The sequence below is a fragment of the Homo sapiens genome, chromosome 22, assembly GCF_000001405.40.
Source record: "Homo sapiens chromosome 22, GRCh38.p14 Primary Assembly".
NCBI lineage: Eukaryota > Metazoa > Chordata > Mammalia > Primates > Hominidae > Homo > Homo sapiens.
The window spans coordinates 39,838,580-39,854,375 of record NC_000022.11 but is presented as its reverse complement, the minus strand read 5'-3'; the positions used below and the strand labels follow the sequence as shown (position 1 = coordinate 39,854,375).

Sequence of the window (15,796 nt, the reverse complement as noted above, 5' to 3'; positions counted from 1 at the left end):
ACTCTGGTCTGTGTCAAATGTAATAGCATTCCATATCATGGAAAAATTTCCCTGAAAACTATCATTGCTGTTGAACCAAAATTATACAGTAGGTCCTTGAATAACATCCTTTTGTTCAATGTTGTTATAACTGATGAGAAAAACATCAATTCCCGGCTGAGGTCCCTGTCTGTGTGGAGTTTGCACACTCTCCCCCTGTCTGCCTGGGCTTTCTCCATGTTCTCTGCTTTTCTCCCACTTCCCAAGGATGTGCACGGTGGGTGAATCAGCATGTCTGAATGGTCCCAATCCAAGTGAGTGTGGAGTGGGTGTGAGTGCACCCCACAATGAAGCAGCATCCCTGTCCAGGGATGGTTCCCACCTTGTGCCCTGAGCTTCCAGGATGGGCTCCAGCCACCTGTGACCCTGAAGGGAGCACATGAATCATCTTACTTATTTTTACTAATCTTCCTTAAATGTATGTATAGCTCACATTTATTTCAACATTTAATAATAAAAGTGGGCCAGGCACAGTGGCTCATGCCTGCAATCCCAGCACTTTGGGAGGCCAAGGCAGGCAGATAACCTGAGGCCAGGAGTTCAAGACCAGCCCGGCCAACATGGTGAAACCCCTATCTCTAGTAAAAATACAAAAATTAGCCAGGCATGATGGCAGTTGCCTATAGTCCTAGCTACTCAGGAGGCTAAGGCAGGAGAATTGCTTGAACCTGGGAGGCAGACGTTGCAGTGAGCTGAGATCACGCCACTGTACTCCAGACTGGGTGACACAGCAAGACTCTATCTCAAAAAATAATAATAAGAAGAAGAATAAAAGTGTTTTGGTTTTTTTTGTTGTTGTTTGTTTTGAGACAGAGTCTCACTCTGTCGCCCAGGCTAGAGTGCAGTGGCACGATTGCAGCTCACTGCAATGCCCCTCAGGTTCAAGTGATTCTCCTGCCTCAGCCTCCTAAGTAGCTGGGACCACAGGTGCCTGCCACTACACCCGACTCACTTTTGTATTTTTTTTTAGTAGAGACAGGGTTTCACCATATTGGCCAGGCTGGTCTCGAACTCCTGACCTTGTGATCTGCCTGCCTCGGCCTCCCAAATGTTTTGGTCTTTATTTTTAAGTTTGGTGAAATTTTTGTGACTAGAAATACACTGTAGGAACTTAGTTCTTGTTTATATTAATTAGCCTATGGTAAAATTGGTTTCATTATACATTGTTTCCCTTAAAGTAGCAATTTCCAAGAGACTATGGACATCATTAAATGAGGACTTGCTGTACTGCAAAGTAGTTGTCATGCTTTTATAATAAAAAACAGCAACGTTGATGTTGTTACTTCCTACAAAGAGCTTTGTACTAACAGAGTTGATGTGGAGTCATGCTTGGTTGCCTTGCCACATGTAGATGAGATGGCAGGGCTAATGGTACAAACTGTGGTTGTAACTAAAACATTTGCATTGATAAATGTCAAACAGCTGATCTTTTAAATTTAAAAATAAATATATAAAAATAATTTGTATCTGTACCACCCTAAACCGACCACTGTTAACATCTCAGAATAGTCATGTGTCATATAATGATGTTTCAGTCAATGGTGGACTGCGTGTATGATACTGGTCCCATAAGATTATATTTTTACTGTACCTTTTCTATGTTTAGATATGTTTAGACACACAAATTCTTACCATTGTGTTACAATTGTCCTTGTGTTACAATTGCCTACCACATTCAGTACAGTAATATGCTATACAAGTTCATTGCTTAGGAGCAATAGGCTATACCATATAGCCCAGGTGTATAGTAAGCTCTACCATCTCAATGTGTGTAAGTACACTCTATGATGTTTGTACAACAATGAAATTGCCTAGCAATGCATTTCTCAGAAAGCATCCCTGTTGTTAGGGTATGCATAACTGTTTCTTTTTTATTTTTGTTTCGGAAAACCATTATACTCTTGTAAAAACAATATAGGCTTGTTATATAATTACTCAGAAATAACCATCATTAATATCAGATGATTGCAATTCTAGGCATCTTTTTTGTGAGACAGGCTCTCACTCTGTTGTCCAGGCTGAAGTACAGTGGCACCATCACAGTTCACTGCCACCTTGACCTCCCTGGGCTCAGGTGATTCTCCTACCTCAGCCTCCCAAGTAGCTGGGACTGCAGGCATGCGCCACCACACCGGCTAAATTTGGGTTTTTGGGTTTTTTTTTTTTGGTAGAAACAAAGTTTCACCATGTTGCCCAGGAAGGTCTCAAGCTCCTTGGCTTAAGCAATCTGCTCGCCTCAGCCTCCCACAGTGCTAGGATTACAGGAGTGAGCCATCATGCCTGGACAGCATTTTTAAAAAATCTATACATGCATATAGAGAGATGGATAGCTAGAGAGAAATTATTTTTATAAAAATGGAATTATATGCTGTTTTTTAGTAAAAAATATTAAAGGTCTCCTTCAGGCAATGAGACTAGGAACTCCATTTACTGCACAATAACCAAAGACTGGAAGTGACACACTATTTGCGACACTACTGGCCTCACAAGAAGTATGGGAAGTCTCTAAGTTTCTCTTTTTGAAAAATGTAAAATAAAATAAGAACAGTACATGTGAGCTGAAGTCAGAGTGACTTGGCATTCTGCCTGTGGGAAGCTGCAGGTAACTGTAGGGGTTGAGTTGCTTAAGAGCAGTTGTTAGTAGATCAGAGAATGAGTTTGGGGGCTGTCTTGAGCATTGGGAAGGAAAGCCTTGGGTCACTATGCTGAACCCAGACCCTCAAGGGGACTGAATTGAGAAAGTGTACTCATTTCATAAGTTAAGTCCAATAGGATTTTCACCAGTTTAAGACAAGCAATGAGCTCAAAATCCAATATCACCAAAACAGGAGGAGGTAAGCAGCAAAGAACATACTTAATCCCCCAAAGAGTGTAGATATTGGAAAGGTCAGATACAGAACAGCTGTGTATTTACATAAATAAAGGATATAATCGCATGCATCACCAGTTATCAAGAGATTATTAGGACTGAATGGATGAATTTGAAAAAAGGGAACTTGCAGAAATGAGAAATACTACTGAACTAAAAAAATGTATTTAGTGAGCTAGAAGATATGCCTAAAGAAAATGGAAAATATGAAAGTAATATTAATTAAGCCATATGGAGGATACTGCTACAAAGGAATGACAATTAATTACTGTACCAGAAAGCTTCTCATCTTCTACAGTAGAAGCCTGACGACAGTGACATAGTATCTTAGAAATGCTGAAGGAAAATAACAGCCTATAATTGTGTACCAGCAAGACTATGATTTAAGGGTGAGGGTGAAATAGTTATTTATAGATGAATAAAAAAACGAAGAGAGTTTACAACCATGAGACCTGCATTAAAGGGTATACTTCAAAAAGAGGAAAATTATTCCAGAAAGATAGTTGAAAATTCAAGAGAGAATAATGAATAAATGGTAAACACACACATAAATATAGATACGTATGTATAATAAACATTTGATATATAAATCTAATTTTTGAGTTAAGAAAAAGACAACTAGAATAGTGGGTAGCCACGGTATGTAAGTGGGGGTGGGCAGGTCCAGAGTTGTGTTCTAAAGGTCCTTGTGTTTTTAAGAGAAGGTAATGAATATTCTTTGACTGTAAACTTTTAAAGGTAAACGTGCATGATAAACTTTCAAGAATAAACTTTAAAAGAAGAGAAATAGAGTGCATAAATTCCAGACAAGTAGCAAGAAGAAGTAGAATGAGAAAAAAATAAAATTTTATAAAGGGCAAAAAGCATAAAGTGGAACAAATGGAAATTAAAAAGTAAAATAAATAATAGAAATAAGCCCAGATAGATTAATAATCACAGTAAATAGTAATAGATTAAACTCACCTATTAAAAGGCAGAGACTATCAGATTGGGGAAAGAGAAATCCAGATATATGCTGCAAGCATAAATTCACATAAAGATTGAAAGCAATGTATGGAAAAAGGTAAGTCAGGCATATACAAACTAAAAGAAGGCTGGTGTAGCTACTTAATAACAGGCAAAGGAGACTTTAAAGCCAAGAGCATTAAGGATAATAATAAGATGCTCAATTTCCCAGGAAGATGTAGTATTTCTAAATGTGAATATACCCAGTAAAATAACTTCAAAGTATATAAAGCAAAAGTTGGTAGAACTACAGGAATAAATTGAAATATCTACCATCATAGTAGATAATTTCAAAACATCTTTATTGATAGGTGAAGGACATGAAACTTTTTTTAATATGGATTTTATAATTGATGATATGTGTTATAAAGGAAGTCTTTACATTTCCAAAAATCTGTTTCATAGAGGACACGTTTTCTTACCAAAATACCATTAAATTTGAAGTTAACAAAAAATATAAATAAAAAATTTCCATACATTTGAATGTGGGACTATTTCTTTTAGAATAAGGTGGAAGAAAAGGACATCAGTTCTCCTTGCTACGTCAGCTTTGTAGTGGAGGTCCTAGCCATCACAGTAAAACAAGCAAGAGAAATTAAAAATGTCAGTATCAAAATGGAAGAAACGAGCATCATTTGTAAACGATAGGATTTTCATATAGAAAACTTCGAAAGATCTACAGACATACTAAAAATAGTGAGTTTTAGAAAGATGGCTGGCTATAACATCAAAACATAAAATCAAGTTATATTCTATATATCAGTAACAAATATTAAACATAATTTTTAAGATACCATTTATAATAGCCAAAAATCTTGATTTAGGAATAAGTCTTACAAAAGAAGTACAAAATCTGTACACTGTAGGTTATAATGTTTAATTGAAATACATTAAAGACCTATATAAATGGAAAGATATTCCATGTTTATCAAAATAATAATGTAAACATGTCAGTTCTCTCCAAATTGTCTAGATTTAGTGGAGGGTTTCTCAGCCTTGGTACTATTGATATTTTGAAACAGATCATTCTTTGTTGTGGGAGCTATGCATTGTAGGGTAGTTAGCATCATACCTGGCCTGTACCCACTGGATGCTATTAGCAAACATCCCTTTCTGTTGTATTGAATCAAAAAAGTCTGCAGACATTGCCAAATGTCCCCTGGGGGCCAAATTGTTCCCAGTAGAGAACCGCTGATTCAGTGCAGTTACAATCGAAATCCAAAAAGGGTTTTAAGAGTTGAATTTGATGTACTGATTCCAGAATTTACCTGGAAGAATCAAAAGTTCAAGAGTATCCAAAACATTCCTAAAATAGAGTAAGGTGGAGGGTTTGCCTTTCTAAATAACAAGACTAAAATTTTACTGATCATGACACTGTGGTATGGATGCAGGATAGGTGCATGGACCAATGGAACAAACCATAACCCTAGAAAACAGACCTGGGCCACTATGGAATCAGTAAATGACAGAAGTGGCATTTTTGAATAGTGGAGAAAAACTGAACTGCTCAATAAATAATACTCGGATAATTTTTTATCCATATTGTAAAAATGAAATGAGGTCTCTAACCTGGATGAATTAAGGATTTAAAGGTAAAAAGGCAAAACTTTGAAACGTTTAGAAGAAAATTTAGAATATATTTTTTACATTGAAATAGGGAAATATTTCATAAACAGAAAAAGTGCACATTATTTTTTAAAAGTGTTTATGAATTTGACATTTGTGGTAGGCAGAGTTTTGAGGATAAGCCCCATGACCCTTGCCTATATACAGTCCTCTCCCCTTTGAGCGTGGACAGAACCTGTGAATATGATGAATTACCACCCCCATGATTGTTATATTCTAAGGCAAAAAAGGTATTATGCTGGTAGGCCCTATCTAATCAGATGAGTCCTTTAAAAGCAGAGAGTTGGCCGGGCGCTGTGGCTCATGCCTGTAATCCCAGCACTTTGGGAGGCCAAGGTAGGTGGATCATGAGGTCAGGAGATTGAGACCATCCTGGCCAACATGGTGAAACCCTGTCTCTACTAAAAATACAAAAATTAGCTGGGCATGGTGGTGCATGCCTGTAATCCCAGCTACTCTGGAGGCTGAGGCAGGAGAATCACTTGAACCCAGGAGGCGGAGGTTGCAGTGAGCCAAGATTGTGCCACTGCACTCCAGCCTGGTGACAGAGTGAGACTCCGTCTCAAAAAAAAAAAAAATTAATTAATTAAAAAAAAATAAAAGCAGAGAGTTTTCTCTAGCTGGTGGCCGAAGAGGGAGTCAGAAAGATTCCAAGTGTGATAAGGATTTGAAGCACTATTGTTGGCTTGAAGATGGAGTAATAAGGGATGCAAGTGGCCTCGAAGGTGAGAGTGGCCCCTGGTTGCCAGCCAGCAAGGAAATGGGGACTTTAGTCCCACAGTTGCAAGGAGCAGAATTCTGCCAACAGCTGGATTGAACTTGGAAGTGGATTCTTCCCTAGGGTTTCCAGATGACAGTTCAGCTTGGCCAACGCCTTGACTTTGGCTTTGTGAAACCAGAAACAGAGAACCCATTTAACCTGCCTGCACTTCTGACTACAGAACTGCGAGATAATAAATGGTTGTTGTTTTAGGCCACTAAGTTTGTGGTAATTTGTTATAGCATCATTAGAACAAATGATCTTATAGCACCATTAGAAAACTAATAAAACTGTATTACCTTTTATTTTCTGTGCTTTTGGGGTCATATACAAAAGTTCTTTGCCCAGATCAATATCAAGAAGTTTTTCCCCGTTGGGTGTGGTAGCTCATGCCTTTACAGGTGACTCATGCCTCTCAGCACTTTGGGAGATCAAGGCGGAAGGATTTCTTGAGCCCAGGAATTTGAGACCATCCTGAGCAACACAGCAAGACCCTGTCTTTTTTTTTTTAAGTTTGCTAATCAGCTGACTTTATTTTTTTATTTTTATTTATTATTATTATTATACTTTAAGTTTTAGGGTACACGTGCACAATGTGCAGGTTACATATGTATACATGTGCCATGCTGGTGTGCTGCACCCATTAACTCATCATTTAGCATTAGGTGTATCTCCTAATGCTATCCCTCCCCCCTCCCCCCACCCCACAACAGTCCCCAGAGTGTGATGTTCCCCTTCCTGTGTCCATGTGTTCTCATTGTTCAATTCCCATCTATGAGTGAGAACATGCGGTGTTTGGTTTTTTGTCCTTGCGATAGTTTACTGAGAATGATTATTTCCAATTTCATCCATGTCCCTAACAAAGGACATGAACTCATCATTTTTATGGCTGCATAGTATTCCATGGTGTATATGTGCCACATTTTCTTAATCCAGTCTATCATTGTTGGACATTTGGGTTGGTTCCAAGTCTTTGCTATTGTGAATAGTGACGCAATAAACATACGTGTGCATGTGTCCTTTGGGTATATACCCAGTAATGGGATGGCTGGGTCAAATGGTATTTCTAGTTCTAGATCCCTGAGGAATCGCCACACTGACTTCCACCATGGTTGAACTAGTTTACAGTCCCACCAACAGTGTAAAAGTGTTCCTATTTCTCCACATCCTCTCCAGCACCTGTTGTTTCCTGACTTTTTAATGACTGCCATTCTAACTGGTGTGAGATGGTATCTCATTGTGGTTTTGATTTGCATTTCTCTGATGGCCAGTGATGATGAGCATTTTTTCATGTGTCTTTTGGCTGCATAAATGTCTTCTTTTGAGAAGTGTCTGTTCATATCCTTTGCCCATTTTTTTGATGGGGTTGTTTGTTTTTTTCTTGTAAATTTGTTTGAGTTCATTGTAGGTTCTGGATATTAGCCCTTTGTCAGATGAGTAGGACTTAAACGTTAGACCTAAAACCATAAAAAACCTAGAAGAAAACCTAGGCATTACCATTCAGGACATAGGCATGGGCAAGGACTTCACATCTAAAACACCAAAAGCAATGGCAACAAAAGTCAAAATCGACAAATGGGATCTAATTAAACTAAAGAGCTTCTGCACAGCAAAAGAAACTACCATCAGAGTGAACAGGCAATCTACAAAATGGGAGAAAATTTTCGCAACCTACTCATCTGACCCTGTCTCTTAAGAAAAAAAACAAATTAGCTGGACATGGTGGCATGTGCCTGCAGTCCCAGCTATTCAGGAGGCAGAAATGGGAAGATCGCTTGAGCCTGAGCGGTAGAGGCTGCAGTGAGCTGTGATCACGCCACTGCACTCTAATCTGGGTGACAGACCAAGACCCTGTCTCAAAAAGAAACTTTTCCCTATGTTTTCTTCTAGTAGTTTTACAGATTCAGGTCTGGCATTTTAAATCTTTTATCCATTTTTAGTTGATTTTTATATGTGTGGTGGATTATCCAGTGTTCCCAGCACCACTTATCAAAGAAACTGTCCTTTCCCATTGTGTATTCTTGGTACCTTTGTTGATCAGTTGGCCATAAATGCATGGATTTATTTCTGGGCTCTCTGTTCTGTTCCATTGGAACAGATTATATGTCTGGTTTTGTGTCAGAACCACCCTATTTTGATTACTATAGTTTTGTAGTAGATTTTGAGGGGAAAAAAAAACACCATGTAAAAGTGAAAAAAAAAGCCGCAAAATGGGAAAATTTTCCAACGCATATAACTGACAAAGGATTAGTATCCAGAATATATAAAAAATTCTTGCAGATCAATGAGAAAAGAGTAGCTCAACAGAAAAAGAGGAAGCAAATATGAAAATCATTTCTAGAAAAACAGGAAACATGTAAGGCCAAGAAACATTTTTTAAATGCTTAGCTTTGTATTATGTAGTGACAAGAAACAATTACGAATTTTATGAAAGATATAATTTACAATAACTTCAAAAATGAATGCCATATTGTGAGGAATTTTCCTTCTGTTTCTTGAGCTACATTTTCTTCTGCATTTGGGATCTTTCTTTTATGCATGCCATCTCCCTTTCTTTCCCTTTCATGCTTCTCCTTCCCTCCTTCTCTGCTCGTTTTTCTACCGGAATGTGTTTGTTTAGTTGCCAGGCCATTTCTTCACATCTTGCTGATGCTTAGGCAGCTCTCACTAGGCACTGTCTCTTGAAGGTGGTAGAGTATAACGGTTAAGGGCTCAGGTCCTGGAGCCATACTGTCTGCATTTGAATCCTGACTGGTTGTATGACCTTGGACTGGCTACTTAAGCCCTTGTGCTGTAATTTCACCTTCTGTAAAATGGGGTTAACATGGGCCCTGTGATGGAGTTGTTATAAGAAGTAAATGGGCTAATACAGAGTCAGCACAATAAACTTTGGCTGTTGTTTGTTCAGAAACACTTAGTGATTTCTTGACTCTTCCCGCCATATCTGAGATCAGTTTGTTTTCTCCACCAGGCTGCAGTCTGTGGGCTTTTTTTTTTTTTTTAATCCATTTTTCTGTAGCAGATCTCAGCTGAGGCCATGTATGGTCTTCTTTAGAATACCTGAACTCTGTTCTGTTTTTGAGTCTCTTATACGAGGTCCTGCTCATTCTACCTAGTTGAGGTATGTATCCTATTCCTGTGGGGGAGAGATGCCTTCAAGCTTTAGATCCTTCGCCCAATTCAGTGTCAAACTGTAGCTTTCATGCCCATTGAAGTGTAAGCACCTTTATTTACTCTGTTACACCCATTTTTTTCTCTAGCTATTTTCACCTCTCCTCCGTCATAAGTGGGAAGAAAGCATTCTCCATTCAGTTCTCTTTTTTTCCAGACATGTGGATATTGATGAGAACTCTAAGATTTTTGTCATCTTACCAGTATTGCTTTTGGGGGAGAAGGGATGTCCTAGATCTTGTTTCTTTGCTTGGCCACCAGTTATTTTGATTCTTTTTCTTTTAGAAATTTTAGTTATATCTGTTTCTATGTTAGATTACTATTGACTTTTTTAAAAAAACCTCATTGCGTACTGGGTGATGGGAATTCTGTGTTGCAGTTTCATTTTGCTATCTTAACCCAGGAGTCAGCTACTGAATATTAAAACTTGCTTTTGTAGTGACTGTTTATTTTTCCTTGTCCCTGGAGCTGAGCTTCTAACTTGGTTTGTGAATTTCCCTGTTTCTCATTATTCTTAAGTGAGAACTACTGGCAGTGTCTCAAATTTTATATGCTATTGTTAGCAAAATACTGAAATAAAATTGTCTCAACTCCATTTTTAAGATCTCCAGCAGTAAAGTTGGTTCTTTTTCACTTTTCTTATCTACCTATTTCAAATTTAATTTTAAAAATCTACTTAAACATCTCTGCTTTCTTATTCTTCTCTTTTCACCTTAAAAATGCCTTTCCCCTAGTAATCTCAAAATTCATCTACCAAGAAAGATGTACAGTAATTGTACATCTTTAATCTCAAAATTCATCTACCAAGAAAGATGTACAGTAATTGTACATCTTTAATCTCAAAATTCATCTACCAAGAAAGATGTACAGTAATTGTACACTCCATCTCCTGTGTTTTGAAGCATTTCTCAGGTAAATGGAAGCAGAGCAATAAAGCAGAAACATAGAGATTGTGTCTGTAGTGGATACTGTGGTGTGTCTCCCAGATCCTTGCTTCAAGATCAAGGCACTCTTGAGTTGTGGGAGGGTGTTGGCTGTGGGCTCTCAACTGAATCCTCCTCTGGGAATTCCCAACAGCTGAAGACAGCCTCTTCGTTCAAGGTCATGCCCCCTAGCTAAGGAATCCTACATCAAGGCAGGACAACTGTGAAGAGCCATTCCAGCCTCAAAGCTCCTATAAGGATCAGCTGAGTCCTTTATTGCAAGTGTGCTACAGTTATTGCAACTGTGCTTGCTTGACCCGATCCTTCCTGCCTGCCTCCCTCCTCACTGGTAGTTTTTTTTTTTCTTTTATTATTATACTTTAAGTTTTAGGGTACATGTGCACATTGTGCAGGTTAGTTACATATGTATACATGTGCCACGCTGGTGCGCTGCACCCACTAACTCGTCATCTAGCATTAAGTATATCTCCCAATGCTATCCCTACCCCCTCCCCCCACCCCACAACAGTCCCCAGAGTGTGATGTTCCCCTTCCTGTGTCCATGTGATCTCATTGTTCAATTCCCACCTATGAGTGAGAATATGTGGTGTTTGGTTTTTTGTTCTTGCGATAGTTTACTGAGAATGATTATTTCCAGTTTCATCCATGTCCCTACAAAGGACATGAACTCATCATTTTTTATGGCTGCATAGTATTCCATGGTGTATATGTGCCACATTTTCTTAATCCAGTCTATCATTGTTGGACATTTGGGTTGGTTCCAAGTCTTTACTATTGTGAATAGTGCCGCAGTAAACATACATGTGCATGTGTCTTTATAGCAGCATGATTTATAGTCCTTTGGGTATATACCCAGTAATGGGATGGCTGGGTCAAATGGTATTTCTAGTTCTAGATCCCTGAGGAATTGCCACACTGACTTCCACCATGGTTGAACTAGTTTACAGTCCCACCAACAGTGTAAAAGTGTTCCTATTTCTCCACATCCTCTCCAGCACCTGTTGTTTCCTGACTTTTTAATGATTGCCATTCTAACTGGTGTGAGATGGTATCTCATTGTGGTTTTGATTTGCATTTCTCTGATGGCCAGTGATGATGAGCATTTTTTCATGTGTTTTTTGGCTGCATAAATGTCTTCTTTTGAGAAGTGTCTGTTCATGTCCTTTGCCCACTTTTTGATGGGGTTGTTTGTTTTTTTCTTGTAAATTTGTTTGAGTTCATTGTAGATTCTGGATATTAGCCCTTTGTCAGATGAGTAGGTTGCAAAAATTTTCTCCCATTTTGTAGGTTGCCTGTTCACTCTGATGGTCGTTTCTTTTGCTGTACAGAAGCTCTTTAGTTTAATTAGATCCCATTTGTCAATTTTGTCTTTTGTTGCCATTGCTTTTGGTGTTTTAGACATGAAGTCCTTGCCCATGCCTATGTCCTGAATGGTGCGATCAACTGGAAGAAAGGGTATCAGCAATGGAAGATGAAATGAATGAAATGAAGCGAGAAGGGAAGTCTAGAGAAAAAAGAATAAAAAGAAATGAGCAAAGCCTCCAAGAAATATGGGACTATGTGAAAAGACCAAATCTACGTCTGATTGGTGTACCTGAAAGTGACGGGGAGAATGGAACCAAGTTGGAAAACACTCTGCAGGATATTATCCAGGAGAACTTCCCCAATCTAGCAAGGCAGGCCGACGTTCAGATTCAGGAAATACAGAGAACACCACAAAGATACTCCTCGAGAAGAGCAACTCCAAGACACATAATTGTCAGATTCACCAAAGTTGAAATGAAGGAAAAAATGTTAAGGGCAGCCAGAGAGAAAGGTTGGGTTACCCTCAAAGGGAAGCCCATCAGACTAACAGCAGATCTCTCGGCAGAAACCCTACAAGCCAGAAGAGAGTGGGGGCCAATATTCAACATTCTTAAAGAAAAGAATTTTCAACCCAGAAATTCATATCCAGCCAAACTAAGCTTCATAAGTGAAGGAGAAATAAAATACTTTACAGACAAGCAAATGCTGAGAGATTTTGTCACCACCAGGCCTGCCCTAAAAGAGCTCCTGAAGGAAGCACTAAACATGGAAAGGAACAACCAGTACCAGCCGCTGCAAAATCATGCCAAAATGTAAAGATCATCGAGACTAGGAAGAAACTGCATCAACTAACGAGCAAAATAACCAGCTAACAGCATCATGACAGGATCAAATTCACACATAACAATATTAACTTTAAATGTAAATGGACTAAATGCTCCAATTAAAAGACACAGACTGGCAAATTGGATAAAGAGTCAAGACCCATCAGTGTGCTGTATTCAGGAAACCCATCTCACGTGCAGAGACACACATAGGCTCAAAATAAAAGGATGGAGGAAGAGCTACCAAGCAAATGGAAAACAAAAAAAGGCAGGGGTTGCAATCCTAGTCTCTGATAAAACAGACTTTAAACCAACAAAGATCAAAAGAGACAAAGAAGGCCATTACATAATGGTAAAGGGATCAATTCAACAAGAAGAGCTAACTATCCTAAATATATATGCACCCAATACAGGAGCACCCAGATTCATAAAGCAAGTCCTGAGTGACCTACAAAGAGACTTAGACTCACTGGTAGTTTCTAAGAGCGCTCCCTAATGGCTCTCCCACATGCAAATCTGAGTCTGAGAGTCTGTTTCCTAGGGAACCCAACCTACAATGGCTTTTCCTCTAGATTTAAAATATAGGACAGTAATAATATGTGTACATAAATAGATAATGAGAATAGAGAATAAAGCAAATGGGGCAAAATGTTAACAATTGGTGAATCTGGGATGAAGACCATATGGGCATTCTTTGTACTATTCTTGTTACTTTTCTGTAAGCTTAAAATTATTACAAAATCAAAGTTAAAAAAAATATGACAAATACCAACTACTTTAAGATGCTTAAGTTAGCCAGGCGCGGTGGCTCACACCTGTAATCCCAGCACTTTGGGAGGCCGAGGTGGGTGGATCACGAGGACAGCAGATCGAGACCACGGTGAAACCCTGTCTCTACTAAAAATACAAAAAATTAGCCAGGGGCAGTGGTGGGTGCCTGTAGTCCCAGCTACTCGGGAGGCTGAGGCAGGAGAATGGTGAACCTGGGAGGCGGAGCTTGCAGTGAGCTGAGATCACGCCACTGCACTCCAGCCTGGGCGACAGAGCGAGACTCCGTCTCAAAAAAAAAAAAAGATGCTTAACTATGTGCCAAAACAACGAAATTGGAGTCAAGGTTCCAAATTCACAATTCTGTAAAAGTTAGATATAAATTTAAGCACCATGAGACTTGACTTTTAGATCTTACTAGCTCTTCCTTAGCCCACTGAATATTTTCTATAATGCAATATATCTGTCTGTTACTAAAAATTAATTTTTTAAGCAAATTATTTAATTCACTTACATTACACCTAAAAGGACATGGTTATTATATGCTAAATAATAAATGGAACAATTTGGAAATCTGTTCAACTTATGGAGCGTTGCATTTCCAAAATGTATGGTGCATTGCTAATGCCTGATAATTTGAACGTCAGTTTGATATCTCATCTAAGAAATATCGGAGGGTTCACAAGTTCTGCTTTGTGGTATTATCTGAGTGGTGCGGGCTCAGTGGGATGTACAGCTTCTTTCTAGATAGTTTCCACAAAGTACTTACAACCTTGGTATCGAAGCACTCATCTTTGAATGACTCAATGGCTTCATTTCCTGCAGCATCATTACTTTTTCCTCTGAGGTTTCTCATTCACATACTAGTCTTCACTGGCTTGTGACTTCACAGTGTCAATTGATAAGTAGCTTACAAGACCAAAGGGATCTCATTTCCACTAAGGAACTATAAGGAACTAAATGTATGTTCTCTCCTACTTGCTTGTGAAAATCCAGAAATAAATGTTGTGTAATTACCAAATCTAATTAAGCACACCTCACTTCCAGTGTTATGCTATCTGATACTGAAAGAAAAATTTAATGAGTTTCCATAGACCCACTATATTCTAATTGCTTTCTTTCTTGCCTCATAAGATAGGTTTACTACATTTAGGCTATTCTAGGCCAAAATGCATCTCCAACATGCAAGATATTTTTTCTTTCACATTTCTTGCTATTCTTCAGTTTCTCTCAAAATTTACTTCAAAATTGACCATCTGACATTTTTACTAATCTACTTCTGTAATGTCTAAAACCTAAGACCATATGATTTCCAAGATAATTTAGTTGCTGAATGCCGAGCAAGTGATAATGTAGTTGATTAAATCCAGTGAAAGTAGATAGATGATCTAAGCCCCAAGTCACCACTCTTTGCCAATATTAGCTACAAAATCTCCAAGCCCCAAATAAGCTCATTTTAATTATTCACTTTTATGTGAAGTTAAAACAAAATGAAAAGTTACAACCATAAATGAAAGATTCTTATTTCTTCAGTATCTCTGGCATCTACCATACTTTCTCCCTTTGCCCACGTAGGTCCTTCTGCTCGGAGTAATTTATCTTTGCCTCTACCCTTATTGGAATCCTAGCCGTCCTTCAAAGCCTTGTTCAAATTTTACTTCCTCTTTGTGGTTGTTTTTGATTACTCTGGTGCACATTGTTGTTTTCCTCCTTAGAGTATCTGTTCCTAAAATTAATTAATTCAAGAACGTTTAGCATATAATTGTTCTCTGTTTCCTGTAAGTCTGTATGTTAGACTTATATACCTAGTCAGGCTATAAACTTCTAGAAGGTAAAGACTGTGCCTTATATTACCGCTTTTCAGTATTTTTTTTTGTTTTGCATAACCCCTAAAATGATTTTGAAACACTATGTACCTCCTCACACATTTTTGAGTTGATATATGAAGTTTTATAAGTATAAATAACTGCAAAGGATATAATTCTGGCACGTTGTAAATATTGACATTAAGGACAAAAGAAAAGAAAAAACAAGCAAACTGTTAAGTTATATCCATCTTTTAAATGTATCTAAGGGAATCTAAATACCATTGTGATTGATAACTGTAGTCATTCATTTAAAAAAAAATACATGAAGTCCTTAACTGTTAGAAATTTTACATTATTCCCTTTTCTCTCTGAAGTCATATGTTTATTCTACATTTCTTGCAGAATTTTATTCTAATATAAAATATTTTTATGCTTGGAAATCTTCTCTACATCAAATAGATATAAAATTGAAATTATTTTTCTAAATTTTCTCTGACCAAAGGTTTTAATATTTCTTCTAGATTGACTTATTACAATTATTGTTAGTATGCAGTCAATCAAAACCACATAAATGCATTATAAATTTGTATGAATATTTGTTAAATATAATTTTATTAGAAATATATGGTTTTATGAGATAATTGGAACTGCTCGTTTGCCCACATAGGAGTGTGACT

At 37.9% G+C, this 15,796-nt stretch overlaps 1 protein-coding gene across 7 annotated transcripts in view, besides 1 other annotated feature; it reads left to right on the top strand.

Moving 5' to 3' along the window:
* ENTHD1 (ENTH domain containing 1) overlaps nt 1-15,796 on the top strand; it is a 150,717-nt gene that overhangs the window by 39,385 nt on the left and 95,536 nt on the right. The window lies entirely within an intron of this gene.
* Nucleotides 15,017-15,066: an enhancer, noted in NCBI's record as "active region_19073". NCBI's record gives its function as "activates an Ori minimal core promoter by ATAC-STARR-seq in GM12878 lymphoblastoid cells {active_cell/tissue: GM12878}" and the evidence as "EXISTENCE:reporter gene assay evidence [ECO:0000049][PMID:35858748]".